At 43.2% G+C, this 15,908-nt stretch overlaps 1 protein-coding gene across 9 annotated transcripts in view; it reads right to left on the minus strand.

Moving 5' to 3' along the window:
- ZZEF1 (zinc finger ZZ-type and EF-hand domain containing 1) overlaps positions 1-15,908 on the minus strand; it is a 138,586-nt gene that overhangs the window by 64,131 nt on the left and 58,547 nt on the right. For 6 of the 9 annotated variants that reach the window (XR_007065288.1, XM_005256561.3, XM_017024382.2 and 3 more), the window contains exons 17-26: positions 13,862-13,932; positions 12,801-12,915; positions 9,308-9,467; positions 8,293-8,414; positions 8,062-8,184; positions 6,688-6,854; positions 6,522-6,603; positions 5,575-5,776; positions 4,033-4,181; positions 2,109-2,349 (exon numbers count right to left, since the gene is read on the minus strand). Coding sequence is in view for 7 of the 9 variants with exons in the window: in XM_005256561.3 (XP_005256618.1) it covers positions 2,109-2,349; positions 4,033-4,181; positions 5,575-5,776; positions 6,522-6,603; positions 6,688-6,854; positions 8,062-8,184; positions 8,293-8,414; positions 9,308-9,467; positions 12,801-12,915; positions 13,862-13,932 (1,432 nt within the window). In the remaining 2 variants the exon portion in view is untranslated. Of the gene's footprint in view, positions 1-2,108; positions 2,350-4,032; positions 4,182-5,574; positions 5,777-6,521; positions 6,604-6,687; positions 6,855-8,061; positions 8,185-8,292; positions 8,415-9,307; positions 9,468-12,800; positions 12,916-13,861; positions 13,933-15,908 lie in introns of those variants that run through there. The other 3 variants (NM_015113.4, XM_017024383.2, XM_017024384.2) reach the window with 2 other exon arrangements.

The following is a 15,908-nucleotide window of genomic DNA, read 5'->3' on the forward strand; positions in this document are numbered from 1 at the left end:
CTGCACCCAGCCTAACAAAAAAAATTTTTAAAGAAAGATCTATGAGGCTTGCCCCTTCTCTTCAGCTAAAACCCAAAGGATAATATACTAGAACAGCATGAAGCTCTCTTTTGCATCTATGTTACAATGCAGTAAGTAATTCCTGAAGCCCTGGAATACGCCAGGGCTGTACCAGACACTGGGAATATTATGCTGAGAAAAACAAAGTTCCTGCCCTCAAGCAGCTTATATTCAAGTTGAAAAACTCCTCCCCACCCTTTCTAACCCCAAAGAGTGACTAATTTTTAGACAAAGATGAGCAAATTTGCTAGACAAAGACCATTCTCAAAGTAGTTCAGTCTTAACTCAGAAATAGTCCTTAGACATATAATATCTATATCAATATCTATATCACAAAGGCAGAGACAGAAAGAACTAAGACAAGCCTGGCCTCCTTCAAACCAATAATGGCAGGCATTCTAGAAACAACCTGCACACAGCAAGACATTCCGAGTTCCCACAGTTGTAGAGTTCCCACAGTTGACTGTGTGTTTTCTCTTCTGCAAACAGGTATGTGGTATCTGAACACAGCCTGAAGTTTCCCACAGCAGGAAGCCTTCCATTTCTCAGCTTTTAACCCACAGGCTTTTATCCCTCTACTGAAAATTCCTTCAAGTAAAAAGATTATCCAGCTTTCTTACTATAATTTGATTACAAAAATACATATTGACATTCCCCCCGCCAAAACCATACAGGTTACATCACCCCCTCGATTCCTCAGCAGAGAAAAACTCTTCCATATGACATTTGTTTCCATAAATCACTCATGTCTCAACACAGTTTTGTTTATTTGAGCAGCTTTTTAAAGGAGATATTAAGATTTGGGGATGTAATCAAGATGTTTTAACAATCAGAAAATAAATTCTGCAATGTGAGATCCAAAGAAATGAGCAATAAAGGTGGTAGGAATAAAAATATCAATAATAACAAAACGAGGCTGGGCGCGGTACTCACGTCTGTAATCCCAGCACTTTGGGAGGCTGAGGCAGGCAGATCACCTGAGGTCAGGAGTTCAAGACCAGCCTGGCCAACAGGGCGAAACCCCGTCTCTACTAAAAATACAAACATTAGCCGGGCGTGTTGATGGGTGCCTGTAATCCCAGCTACTCGGGGGGCTGAGGAAGGAGAATCGCTTGAACCCGGGAGGTGGAGGTTGTGGTGAGTCAAGATCGCGCCACTGCACTCCAGGCTGGGTGACAGAGTGAGACTCCGTCTCAAAAAGTAAAACAAAACAAAACAAAATGAGCAACAGTCAATTACCCACTCTAGTGGAAGGAAGCTCTGTTTTTGCTTCTCCCGCCTGCGCTGCGTGGAGAAGACATACCCTGCCAGGCGGTTAGGAAGCCCATGCCTTATCTCTAGGTAGGGCTTGAAACACTTTTCCCCTGAATTAGTATGAAGGTAGAGAGAGACTCTCCCTCCGTGTGGGTCCTGCTAGGCGGCAGGGAAGCAGGGTAAATACAGAGATGGCATCCCTAAGAGACATGAGGAAAAGAGATGGTGAGGAGAAGGTTATCAGCAAAGGAAGCCTAGTGGGGTGATGCTACGAAGGCGCTGCAAGCTAGCTAAAGGTAATAGTTAATACCTACAGCTTCCTCCTTGGTTATTACTACATTCAAGAACTTAAACATCTGTGGTTTTAATTGGAATTTCTTAGAATGTTAGAGCGAATCACCCTTAAACCAATTTTACAGATAAAGAAACTGAGGTGCAGAAAGGTCGTCTGATTAACCTGAAGCTGCACAACTTTTGAGTTTTTGCACTGGGACCAGGACCCAAGTTAAGGTTTCTTTCCATTAAATTTCTCAGCAGTTTTCCATGAGAATTCTGGATAAAGATAATTTACCTGCTAATTTTGCAACTCAAGGTTAGGTGCCACACATTATAATCTGCTAACCATAAAGTGGCCATGAATCTTTTAATAGGCAAAGTAGAACCAACAAGATGATGTTTACAGTTATAGAAATGTGTTTATATTTTAAAATATTTTAAATGTTCACTTAAGATAGGCTTTCTTAAAACTTAGCAATTAGCCTTCAGATCAAAAATATTCCCTGTAATAAAGTTACCATATTTTTGCAGCTTCTCATATAAATCTGGAGTGCGATACACCAGAGCAGCAAAGGTGGCGTTCACAGCTTGATCAATAGTGGAACCAGCAACTATATCTGTCTTTGGGGCCTGTTTTCTACATGCCTGTATGAATCCTTTGAAAAGTTCTGAATATGGCCCACAGAAGTTCTGAGCAGGCTCTGACTGGGCAAAATCAAGAAGAAAATGGCGGCAGGGGTCGTCAGGAATGTTCTTAACCTGGAAACAAAAAATAAACCCATCACATTTAACACATTCATTCAAAAAATAAAATTTATTGAGCAAACTATTAGGCCAAAGCAGAAGTATAAAACACAGTGAACACTCTCCGGAAGTTTAAATCTATTTTAGGAAGACCAGACAGAGATATGAGTTAAAAAAAGATAAACATAAATAAAACATTAAAAGCATTAGAACTAGCATTCCCGTAAAGCAAAAGATTATCAAGTGCCAAATGCCTAGAAGGGATACCCAGTGCTGAGAATTCAAAGGAGAGAGATCCTGGTAGGTTAAAGTAATTAAGAAAAGCCTCCTGGAGGATATGGGCTTTGGCCTGGACCCTGAAGGATTGGCAGATTTGGCTCTGAGGAACATAACCATTAGCAGAGGTTACGAGTCAGTGGGGAGACTGACCTGGCCTGAAGTCTCAGCTGGGGAGTGATGGGAACTAGAGTCAGATAGGTAAGGTGAAAGGAGACTGCAGAGAGCCTTGACTGTCACATTGAGGAGTTAGACTTCACCCTGTGGGCAATGGGGAGCCATTAATGGTGCTTGGCAGTGGAATGACAAGATAATGCAGTGATTATAAAAAAAACTTGGTAGGTACGAATGTCATAAGGCAGGTGCAAATGAGGGCCCGGATAAAGATGCAGACAGAGGAAAGGACAGAGATGAACATCATGAGGAAGAATCCACAGGACCTGCAAGCTGACTGGACAGGAATGGGGAGACAGGTGAGGACAGGGGATGCTAGGGAGCAGTGGCTTCAGGCCTGGGGAACACTGACCACCACAGAAGTGACCGGTCTTTGGTTTTACACTTCTGAGTTAAGGGGAGTCAGGACATTTAAATGGAAATGCCTCACAGGAAGATGGAAACAGGTACTTGGAGCGGGGAGAAAACCAGACCTGGAGACTGATATTAGGAATTAGGGCCACAATGTTTGACAGGAGAAGAAAGTGGAGAGGATGAAGTCTTGGTGGGCTGTGGGGAAGGGAAGAAAGCCTGAATAAAGCCTACCCTTTAGGGAAGGAGGAATATGAAAAGTCAATGAAGGAGGCAAGTGGGCAGTCAGATGTAAGAGAAGACAGCGGACTAGCATGGATCCAAAGAAGAGAGGGTCTGAAGGAGCCAAATTTAACAGAGGCAAGGAGAACAGAAGCTGAGGAAGAGCCACTGGATTTGGCAATTAACTACTGAATAACGTGGGGCAGGGCAGGGAGGGGAAGGAAGAAAAGTAGAATACAGAAATAGAGGGAAGGAGAGGTGAAAAATAAAGACAGGGCAAACTTTTTAGTTTTTAAAATCTTATACACCTAAATCATGTGCTGTAATTCTAAGGAGAACAAAAGGTATAGCACAAATCATTGCTCTAAAGCTTGACTCAGTAGGCACTAGAAGTACACTCAATTGTTTGCCTGATAACTCCATCAACAGAGATTTACTGAGCACCTCCTACATTTCACCCAAGTCACGCATTCAGTATTTCTGAACACCTATTGCGCACTGGCCCCTGTGGGACACGGTGGCGTTAACAAGTTAACAAGGTATAGTTTCTGGCCTCAAGGAGCTAACTGCTTAATACGGGTAGTAAGATAGAAACACAAGTGTTTATAACTTAAAGTAATAAATACTTGCAGGCAGTTTCCAGTCTAAATAGAAAGAAAACGGAAGAGTAAATACCTCCTTACTATTCCGGTGTGGGTGAGTGGGCCAGCTTGCTTCTAATTCCAACTCTGGACAAACCTGATGCCTGAAGACAGGTTTCCACAGTGGGGAGCTTAGGACTAATGCCATTTTTGCCTGAGGTACTACCATGTTACTTCCTAACTCTAGAAAGAGAAGAAGACATATGACAGTTCTATTTTTGCCTTAATATATTGAGAATCTTTGAAATGAGAAAGAAAAGGTTAAAAAAAACCATGGATACTATTAAAACTTAGAGAAAGTTTACCCACATACCAGAATGTAATTGTGATACTTTGTAAACACATACCACAGATTAAGCTAAACCACCAAGTCCTGAAATACTGCTGCTCTGTGGAACAACTTCAGTTACAAGGTACCTTGGAAATGACTAATCTGTTTATAGTAAGCTGAAAATAGGATATGAACCATTTCTGGCATATAACACGAGGCCATTCAGGAACATTTAATTATGGAAAAACATTCACAATTTGTAAACTTAATTCTGTAGCAAATAATAAATATCCAGCATAGATGTGTTTAGAATAGGCAAAGAGAAAAGAATAGGTGGAAATAAAAATGCTAATAGCTATTTCTTTCTTTCTTGGAGAAATATTAAAAAAATCAGTTACTTCTGAGTGTTAGGATTAAGGATGATTCTATTTTCCTTTGTTTTTTTCCACTATGTAATTTTTCTATATTTTACTTCTAAAACTGGAAAAACTCAAGAAATGATCAAGAAATAAAATACAGTAGAAAGTTTTATTCTGTAATTCTTGTTCCCTGGAAGAATTAAATAAACAATTATACTGAACACATCTTTTTCCTTTTGTTTTAAGAGACAAGAGTCTCTCTCTGTTACCCAGACTGGAGTGCAGCAGTATGATCACAGCTCACTGCATGCAGCCTCTAACTCCTGGGCTCAAGTGATCCTCCTGCCTCAGCCTCCCAAGTAGCTGAGACAAAAGGCATATGCCACCACACCTGGCTAATTTTTACATTTTTTTTGGTAAAGATAGGGATCTCACTATGCTGCCCAGGCTGGTTTCAAACTCCTGGGATCAAGAAATCCTCCCACCTTGGCCTCCTAAAGTGCTGGGATTACCAGCATGAGCCACCTTGCTCAGCCCTGAATGAATCACTTTAAAACAAAATCCATAGTCACATATCTACATATATTTACATAAATATTCACATATTTAAAGGATATGCAATCAACTTATTCTATACTCCTGCCTTTTGGTTGGACTATACCTACACCTACTTGCAAAAAAATGACAATGTTGCCAAAAAAAAAAGCTGTTATCCTCCATAGACAGAGAACCCATGGCAGCCTTCCTGCTATGTTCCAAAGTCTAAGGCAAAAAGCTTCGTGACAATGGTATTGAGTGGACACTTTATTCTTTCGGTTTAAAGGAAACTGAAAAGGCGTATTATTAACCCCCTGCCATTACGTGGAAACGACCTACAAGAGGGCAAGCGCGCATCTTGCACTTCACCGTGGTTGTAAGAAGGGAAAGCACAGGGATGTGCACTTACGGCGCACAGACTTGAGCGCCATGCACTGGGAAGCCAGGCGTCCCATCAGCCGGGAGACGAGGAGCTGTAAATCCAGCCCCCAAGACACGGCAACATCGGGCAGCCCACAGGCAGTGACAGTGAATTTGTAGCCCCATTCGTTGTGACTGCTGTCAGAGTGAAAGAGGAACTGCAACCGAGGACCGGCCTTGAAGGTCACTTTCTAGAGACAAACAGAAATCATGTGGTCAGACAGATTAGAGGAGGAGTGCTTCAGAAATCAGCATGCTCTTCATGACGAGAAACATCTCAGTTTAAAATTGATCTCTATTTCCACATGTCCAAAATGACTAACGGAGAAATGTACAAAGGGGTGACGGAAACAGACCATTCACAGCCACACCCCATGAAGAAGGAGAGTTGGCAGAATACTGCTGCTCAGCTTTCTACACCTGGGGTGACCATCTGTCCACTACCGACTCAGCCAGTGGTCACATTTCCATGCCTCTGCTCCTGCCAAGACCACTGACCATGGAGAGAAGGTCAACAGTCTGAGGCAGTACTAAACCTCCAGCCCAAGAGCTCAAGCAGCTCTAACTGTGAGGCAGACTCTTGGCTTCCATCACATGGTCTGGGCCATCCTCCTAGACCCACCAGCACTTCTTGCTAAGGATGAAGGCTCTTCATTTACTCTAGACAACGCTGTCTGCTGCAACTACTCAACTCTGCCACTGCAGTGCCAAAGCAGCTATAAATGATAAACAGGCATGGCTGTGTTCCAAAAAAATTTGTTTACAAAACAGGTGACAGACTATAGCTGGTCAAACTCTGATATAAATCCTTCCTTTCACAAACGTGTAACATAAATGCCTCCCTTCAAAGACCTTACCTCTACTGCCCCCTGAAGGCTGACAAAAGGAAAAGCATTGGTGCAGAAGTAGGTACCTCTTTCTGGGACTATCACTCACCTTGGGCCATTTATCAGTGCCAACTTTTGTGTCATAGCGTGTTTTCCGACCTCTAGCGTCGGTAAATTCCAGATAATCATACCTGTGAAGGCATAACCTCTATTAGCTTCCTTCTCTCATTGCTGACCTATTAGCGCTTGGGGGTGAAAGAATATAGAAGTCTTACCTTTTTTCAGTTTCACACCTGTCATCGAATTCCACTTCAAAATAGGTTGCCCCTGGGCTAACAAAGACGGATACCTCATGGCAATTATTTTCATAGTTGTGGGCAGATTCCTTCGTCCACGTATGTAACACCACAGGCTGTTCCTGTTGCCAGGTCTCAACATCCAGCTATGATAACAAATGAGCCAGGGGAAAGAAAGGTTCTATCACTAGACACCTAGCCACATGCAGCAGACTGTTTCTCTATCAGTGCTCCAGGCAGATGGCCTTGACAGCCCTGCACAAACCAGCAGGCAGGCTCGAAGACAAACCTGACATTCCCATCTTCACACAGATCAACACACGTCCACCACGCAGCCGAGGAGATGTGCTTTTATTACACACAAAAACTCCATGACCAGCTTGTACCTTTTCGCTATGACAGAACTACTTACAAATCATTACCAGTGTGAATTCCCAGTGGAAAAAGTACTGAATGAGGAGTTTAAAGACCTCACATTCCTACCTGGGACACTGGCAAATCTGGATCTACTCTCCCTTCCTCTCCTACCCTTTTCTTTTGAGCGGGGGGTTGGGGGGGGGCCTTTGGTTTTTTACCTGTTAAATATAAATGCCTTTTCTACTGCCACAGAGTTGTGCTCTGTGGCACACAAAAGACACACAAGAAGAAGCTCACACAAGACAGTGATTAAACGTTATGTATGTATAATTAAGTAAGGGAGAAATTTCTTCTAAAGACAAAATGTAATTTGCCTTTCAACATACATTTTCTCTTCTAGACTTCAATTTTGTCACTCACTTACATGGTTTTTATATAACTTCATCAACTATAAAATGATGAGATTCATCTCTACAGCTTTTTCTGCGTCTCCTTTCTTTTTTTTTTTTGAGACGGAGTCTCGCTCTGTGGCCCAGGCGGGAGTGCAGTGGCGCAATCTCGGCTCACTGCAAGCTCCGCCTCCCGGGTTCACGCCATTCTCCTGCCTCAGCCTCCCGAGTAGCTGGGACTACAGGCGCCCACCATCACGCCCGGCTAATTTTTTTTGTATTTTTAGTAGAGACGGGGTTTCACCGTGTTAGCCAGGATGGTCTCGATCTCCTGACCTCGTGATCCGCCCGCCTCGGCCTCCCAAAGTGCTGGGATTACAAGCGTGAGCCACTGCGCCCGGCCTCTGCGTCTCCTTTCTAATGCTGACCAGGCCACATCGACTTGGACTGACATTCACCCTTGTTGGCAAGCCCACTGATAAAATCAAGGGAGCCTTCTAGAGGCTGCTCAGCTGTGCCTATCTGCAGTCCGTGGTCCACTTCACTAAGTGTGTCCCATCACTCCTGAGAGAGAACACGGGGCGGCTCAAGTGCTGACTCGAGTTACCTTCCTCAGTCCTCCTTCGGGGCCACTACAGAGCTTCTTCAGGAGTTCTGTGAGGACGCTGAACTCTCTCAAGAGCACGCAGTGTGGGATGTCTAAAGTGCAGAAGTCCAGCAGGAAGATAACCTAATGGAAGATGGATGAAGCACTCAGCGTCCACCTTAGGCTGGGCCTGGGGATGCAGACCCCCAACCCCCTTCCGGTTCTTTACAAATAGCTGCTAGTTTTTCTTACCAGTTGACGAGCTGCCATTGAAAACACTGAGTTACATAATCTTTCTACTATGGTTTTTCCACTGTACTGTGAGAAAAGGGATTCCAAAATCGCTCTCATGCTTGCCAGAAACTGGCCCACATCTACCGAAACAAAGAAAATAATTAATATATTATATAGTAGAAATGTCACATGCTTGGTTATCACCACAGACAAGAATAAAGAGACTCCAGAAGCTGCAGAGGGGGTTCCACAGCGAAGACCACAAGGCCAGCAAGTGCCGTCCTAATGCATTCCTCCTGGAGGAAGAAGCAGTGCGAATTTCAGTACAAGACTCACTTTTAAAGGGATTTTTTTTTGTCTTTTGATGAAGTAGAGGAGCACTTGTAGAAGTGAAATTCCATGCCTGACTAACCCAGCTGTCAGCCTCTCCTTTTCCTTCTGTTTACAATGAGCCCGTGCATTAGGTGTACCAATCTAACAGGCCAAGCTCTAGGTGGCAGGACCCAATATAAGTGTTTTCGTCACAGCTGCTGGGACCAAGTTTGATGGAACTACATTTTCCACGTATAATTTGTCAGCACCCGTTGGGTTTCATATAATTTTCTGTGAGTTTACAGAACATGAATCTAATTATTCTCGGTAATCAGCAATGGTCACAATGCTCATACACCTTAGATTTCTAAAATTCAAGACTTTCATTTTTAGATGACTTGATTAAAACAGGGATAGACTCTCCTGAAGAGCGAGACATCACGTAAGAGTGCTATATGATTGCAAAAGCAATATTTAGGCTGTGAAATGATCTAATTCTACAATAAAAATACTTAGGCATACCACCACACTCAGAGAGTAAACTCTAGACAAAAAGACATGCTGTTGAATTCTATTTTAATTAGACCAAACCAGTCCAAGAATCTGAATCGTAATGAAGAAAGCCATATGCACACTCATTGCATGAGTTACTAAAGAAGAGAACACTCAGAGTCAAAACCCAAACGCCATCTGTTTTCATGGATTTTATATTGAAACTCACATTTTTCAATAAGGTCCACGGCAAGATCTTTGGCTCCAGAGTCCGTGCTCTTCAGCTGCAGGTAGCACCAGGATAGCAGGCTGCCTTGGACGGACCAGAACAGGGAGAAGAGCACAGAGCCCACCTCCCCTGGGGCCCCACTGAGCATTAACAGCTCGCACTACAAGGGAGGAGACAAACAGAAAGTGTTCGTGACAAGGCCATTCACAGAGCATAGCCAAGGGCATCCTCTAAAGCAGCAGCTGTCACCAGCAAAAACAAACTATAGCCACGGAAAAGTCATGAAACAGCTTTCAACCCAGCAGTCACCAAGAAAGATGGTATTACGAAAACTCCCCTTTCCCTCCAGCTTTTTGGAACCTTTACAAAGGTTTTTTATTCCACATGACATCTCCTTCTACCACCTCAGGAACCTTACCCCCCTGGGTATCTCTTCTTTCTCTTACATCTTAAAATGTCCTTTCTCTGGCTCCTTCCCTCAAGCCTTTAATCAAACCTCTCCCACCTTAAAAAAATCATTATTCATGCCTCCATGGCTCTCTAACCATCACCTTTGTTCTCAAAAGTTTCTTTGAAGGGTTATCTGACCTCCAGATACGGAAGATTGTACACTATATGATTCCATTACAGGTACAACCCAGGCAATACAGATGTGCTGGGTAGGAGTAAGTAGAAAGAAGAACAAGGAAATGGTGAACACAAGCTTCGGGATGATGGTTACGCCTGGCAAGGCAGGAAGAGAGTGAGCCATGAAAAGGCATGTGGATGGAGGGAAATGGACTCAAAGATACTGGGAATGTCTAGTCCTTAAAAGAGACACTTGCCACATTGTTGCAACTACCTGATGACATATTTGCTCCTCAAGACTGTGCTTTTTTAAAATCACTGTATCCCCTGTTCCTAGCACAGGGCCTAACACACAGCAGGCATTCAGTGGATATTTGTTGAATTTGATAGATTCCTGAGAAAAATTTCAGACCAGGTACATTTCTGATCACCTTTAATTTTTTTTCCTGATTGAACCCTAACTCTTTAGTATAACCATAAATGTCTTTTACTAAAAGATAATTCAGGGAAACACATTAATAGCTGCATCTCTAGCAAGGAGGTTTAATGATATCTGTAACTTCTTTTGTACCACAGGTAAGTGAAAGAGAAGAAAAGACACACAACTGATCTCCAAATGGTATATACAATTATGCGAAATTCTCTTGGGCAAAATGCTATCTCATTTCTCCACGTACATCTTAAAATAAATCTGGCCTATCTTATCTAGCAGAAAGAGGACAAGGCTCTGAGTCAAACAGCCCCGGTTTCAGTCCTGGCTCTAGCACCTACCCACTCCTCACGTGCGGGGCAGAATCGACTCCTATGAGAACCAGGTGAGAACGCTGAAGTTTTCTGCCCAATGGCACTGATGATGTAACAACAGAAGAAAGACTGGTGAGGGGGAGAACTCAGTTCAGGCTTCAGGGATCTGAGAAACAGGTAGAATGTAGATGAGCTCCAGAAGAAAGGGAAGGTATGGGAAATGCAGAAATAAGGATGGAGATTCGAATGAGCCATGGCTAACTGGGGCCGAGAACACATACTGATGAGACTGAAGTGAGTTTTTTAAGGAAGACTCAGAGATGGGCAGAAGAGTCTGGAAATAAGCCAGAAAGCAGAAAGTAAGAGAAAATTAATGTGACAGCAAAAAATAGAGCATAGTTTTTTAATTAAAAACAAAGTTGAGGCTTATAAAGTCAACGTTACCCTAGATCTAAATTAATACTAGATCTAAACAGTGGTCAGCCTAAGAGCAACCTTGGCAAATGATAACCTAGGCACCCTACAGGTGCTCTGAGGTCCCCATCAGTGAATTGGGGGAGACACCTGCTGATGGCCTATCATGCCAGGCAGCTGGGAATGAATGAAATCATGGCTCTAACAGCAACTCAAAACAGTAAGGCACCCGCAAAAATGTAAGAGATTTAAAGACACTAAGTTCAGTCAAAAGATACAAGATAAGTTATCAGCCACAAAAGAAAAGTTACCTTCAAGTCCACATCATTAGATACCTCAAAGATGTGGTTTGGACTAGTCTACCACAAAATCTCCTCCAGCTCTCTGGTTCCCATATTTAGCCCAAAGAGATAGTTCTTGGTTTCCTAGTACAGGGGTGCTATCACTTTAGAATCTCTCGGGGTGCTTAGAAAAATGCAGGTTCTTAAGCCCTATCCCTAGAGATCTTGAATCAGTAGCTTAGGGTGGGATCTAGAAATCTTTTTTCTGTCAAATATCCCAAGTGACTGATCCACTTGGAGCATAAACTACATTTTAAGAAAGAAAATCCCTTATATTTTTTAAAAAAGGCAAATTTAAAAAATCACTAACACAGAAAAAAGATAATATACTTTCAGATTTGATTAGTCCACGAAATTGCTAAGAAATCTGAATTTTTTTTTTGTTTTTTGTTTGTTTGTTTGTTTGTTTTGAGACAGAGTTTCGCTCGTTGCCCAGGCTGGAGTGCTATGGCGCGATCTTGGCTCACTACAACCTCCGCCTCCCAGGTTCAAGCGATTCTCCTGCCTCAGCCTCCCGAGTAGCTGGGATTACAGGCATGTGCCACCACGCCCAGCTAATTTTATATTTTTAGTAGAAAGGGAACTAATTTTTAATTAAAAATTAAATTAGCTCAGCTAATTTTGTATTTTTGTATTTCTCCATGTTAGTCAGGCTGGTCTTGAACTCCCGACCTCAGGTGATCCGCCCACCTTGGCCTCCCAAAGTGCTGGGATTACAGGCATGAGCCACTGTGACCGGTCCTGAATTTCTTTTTTAAAGTCCAAGTAGTTTTCCTGAAAATTCACACCACTAACACATATCTGTGTGTTGGGCTCACTGACAACCACTACAAGGGGACTTGATATAAATCCATTCCTCTTTTTCCACAGGAAGCATTATCGAGCACTTCTGTGTTTTTATCGTTTGCTGACTACCAAGAACCGTAACATGCCCTCACTCGTTTGCAAGGGCTGGCTGGGAAACCTTTGTGATCATTTGTAAGAGTCAAGTAACAAAGTACATTCATGCCAGGCAGAGTGGCTCACACCTATAATCCCAACACTTTGGGAGGCCAAAGTGGGAGGATTTCTTGATTCCAGGAGTTCAAGACCAGCCTGGGCAACATAAGAGAGACTCCATCTCTACAAATAATTTAAAAATTAGCTGGGCGTGGTGGCGTGTGCCTGTGTCCCAGCTACTTGGGAGACTGAGGTGGGAGGACTGCTTGGGCCTGGGATGGGGAAGCTGCAGTGAGCTGTGATTGTGCCACTGCACCCCAGCCCGGGTGACAGAGCAAGACCCTATCTCAAAACAACAACAACAACAGAAAAAACCACAACAAAGTACATTCATACTGCAAAGAGGCAAAGGGGGGCACAAGAGACTGCCACATCACGTGCCCCCACAAGCATGAGACAAAGAAAACAGGGAGGCAGCCACTGGATACCTCTCGAGCAGCAACAGAGACGAGAGTGTCCATGACCGCCAGGACTTCACTGATGTTCATCTTGGCCAGGTCGTTCTTCTCAGGTAAAAGAAGAAGGCCGCCTGGATCCTTGTCACTGAAAGGATACAAATTAGTCATGACACCTGGCTTCAGGAGAAAGATTTTTATACTATTTTAAAAGATTCCAAAACAGAGCGCAGAAAGGTTTCAGTGTCATTTCCATGGGATGGGAGGAGTTTGGGTCAGGAATACAGGCTGTGGACCCAGCTGGGGCTGTGCCGCTGTCTGTCCACATGTGCTTCCATTAGCACAGACTCACAAATCCTCCAGTCCTGGATGAGACCCTGAGGTAGAAGGCTGATGAATAAATCACCTTGGCCACCAATATGAAATACACCTCATCTCACGACTGCTAGCTTCAAAGTCCTGGCTAAACGTTCCTTGTGTCTTCACATGTCTTCACAGGACGGCCCCAGGCCCTTTCAGCATCCTTGCTACTTGATTCTGAGCACATTTTAAACAGACAGCCCTCTAAGTCTGGCATCCATACCAGGTATAGTCTGACTTGCAGGCAGTCGCTAAGGATATTAGTTCCCTTCCTCCTTCAAGAGTCAATACTTCTAGTAATGAAGCCTGTAGGCCCATTTAGCTTCTCTGGTAGTTGAAACAGGCAAAAATCTCGAAGACCTCCCCTCCCAGCACACTTCCTTCCACAAACTATCATTCTGGGCTTCTGTAGCTGGTTTTAACGTGACACGAATACAAGACCCTACATTCCTTTGGCTTCAGTTTTTGTTGTTAAACATTACTTGGAAACTGAAGTGTTCAAAAAGACCCTCAACGGGCTCAATCTGAAATTGTCTTAAAATGGATGGGAACTGGATTGGGCTGTCAACAAGATTATTATTTTACCACTATTTGGGTCACCCACAGAAACTCGGCTTTCTAACTGAGTGGCAGGAAGTACTACTTCGAAGGCACATGAAAGGAAGGGCAAGCTCAAGAAAACAACTTTGCAAAGATTTGAGTTATCCGACAATTAAAAAGAACGATCAGCTTACCTAAAATACGTGCACAGTGAACGGAAAGTGAGCTGCAGGGACTGCTTGTGCTCCTGCTCGGTGACATTCTTCTAGAAAACCAGAAATTGTATATTCAGAAAATCTAGTCCATGACATTCCAGAGACCTAGAGCGGCAATGAAACATCACCACCCCACTGTTCTCAAGTATGAGGAATGCCAGGCCAGCAGACTACCTCACAGCACCCCACTAAAACCCGCTCAAGTACTAAGATGGAGCAGAACCAACCATCTAAATACAAGGTGGTAGGTGCACTTGGTTCACTGCCAAAGTCAACAGAAGGTTCAAGTTTCCTGCTTAGGGAAATGACCTCATAAAGAGATATACTTTTTTTTTGAGACGGAATTTCGCTCTTGTTGCCTGGGCTGGAGTGCAATGGCGCGATCTCAGCTCACTACAACTTCTGCCTTCCGCGTTCAAGCAATTCTCCTGCCTCAGCCTCCCAAGCATCTAGGATTACAGGAGCCCACTACCACGCCTGGCTAATTTTTGTATTTTTAGTAGAGACGGGGTTTCACCATGTTGGCCAGGCTGCTCTTGAACTCCTGACCTCAGGTGATCCACCCACCTCTGCCTCCCAAAGTGCTGGGATTACAGGCGTGAGCCACCGCACCCAGCTGATAATATACTTTTTGCCATTGGACAAGCCATCTCAAGAGCAATCACAGCTCTTAAGGGTATGGTATCCGAAGATACTGAGGAGGCACCTGATGGAGAGAGAATCGCTCAGCACTATACAGAAGGTTGGCAGTGCTATTTAACTTCTCAGCATGAGAAGACACCAATGTCATTCAAAACGTCATGCGTCCTGTTTCTACTTTCTGTGTAGGACACATGCTTGGAAATTAATCATTTGCTCAGCTACCTGGTAAACACTTGCACCAAACAAGTAGGATAGAGACCCACCCACAGTCCAGTGGCTCAGGTCAGCTGATGCTGTCAAAGGTTATGTAACTCACAATGTGAGAAGTGATTCCTCAGGCTGATATGCAAATTTTATATATAGCTGGAATTACACAAACAAATATCCTTCCTCTTCTCTGAAACCTTCCTCAATCACTTAGCCTCAACATGATTCTCCTCTTGCATATGGAATAAGTTTTTCCTTGCGGCAGGTGTCCCCAATTAGACTGCTGCTGCTGCCCTTTGTCATCAGGGACCACATTTTATGCTTTTGTTCCTTTTTTTTTTTTTTTTTTGAGACGGAATCTCGCTCTGTTGCCCAGGGTGAAGTGCAGTGGCGTGATCTCCGCTCACCACAACCTCTGCCTCTCGGGTTCAAGCAATTCTCCTGCTTCGACCTCCCGAGTAGCTGGGACTACAGGCATGTGCCACCACGCCCGGCTTCCCTCCCTTATTTCTATAGGCCTTTGTGCATCCCATAGACCACTTTTCTTATGTCTGCTCATTGGCTGTTGCATTAGAAACGCCTTTTTAAAATGCTGTATCTAGTTTCCTTTGTCAAATTCTTTTAAATAATTCTATTAGTTGCTTGACTACACAGACAATAAAAAGTAATCTATAATCATATCAAAACAAATAAATATTTGTTTTATTCTATTATTTTTAACACTTCTTTCCCTTGTCCTACAGCACTAGCTAGGCCCTCCAATGCAACATCAAAGAGAAGCAACGACAGTAAGCATCCTTGTCTTATTCCGCATTTTGAGAGGAATGCTTCTAGTGATCCATCAAATACATTGCTTATTGTGGGTTTTCGATACATGCCCTCTACCAGATTGAAGGAGTTTCTATTTTGAGTTTGCTAATGAAAACATATTGTTTCATTGTTTTAATCATCAGAATTTAATCTTATTAAAATATTTTCTGCATTTAGTGATTTTTTTTTTTCCTCTCTGATTCCATTTACATATTTTCTACTGCTGAACCATCACTGGATTTCCAGCATAAATCCAACTTGGCCATAATTTTGTTTATATGTTGTTGCACTGGTTAATTAATATTTCATTAGGGTTCTTCTAACTATGTTCATAAGTAAGAGTGGCCTATAATTTTGCTGTCTTGTA

The sequence above is a fragment of the Homo sapiens genome, chromosome 17 (genome assembly GCF_000001405.40).
Source record: "Homo sapiens chromosome 17, GRCh38.p14 Primary Assembly".
Taxonomy (NCBI): Eukaryota; Metazoa; Chordata; class Mammalia; order Primates; family Hominidae; genus Homo; species Homo sapiens.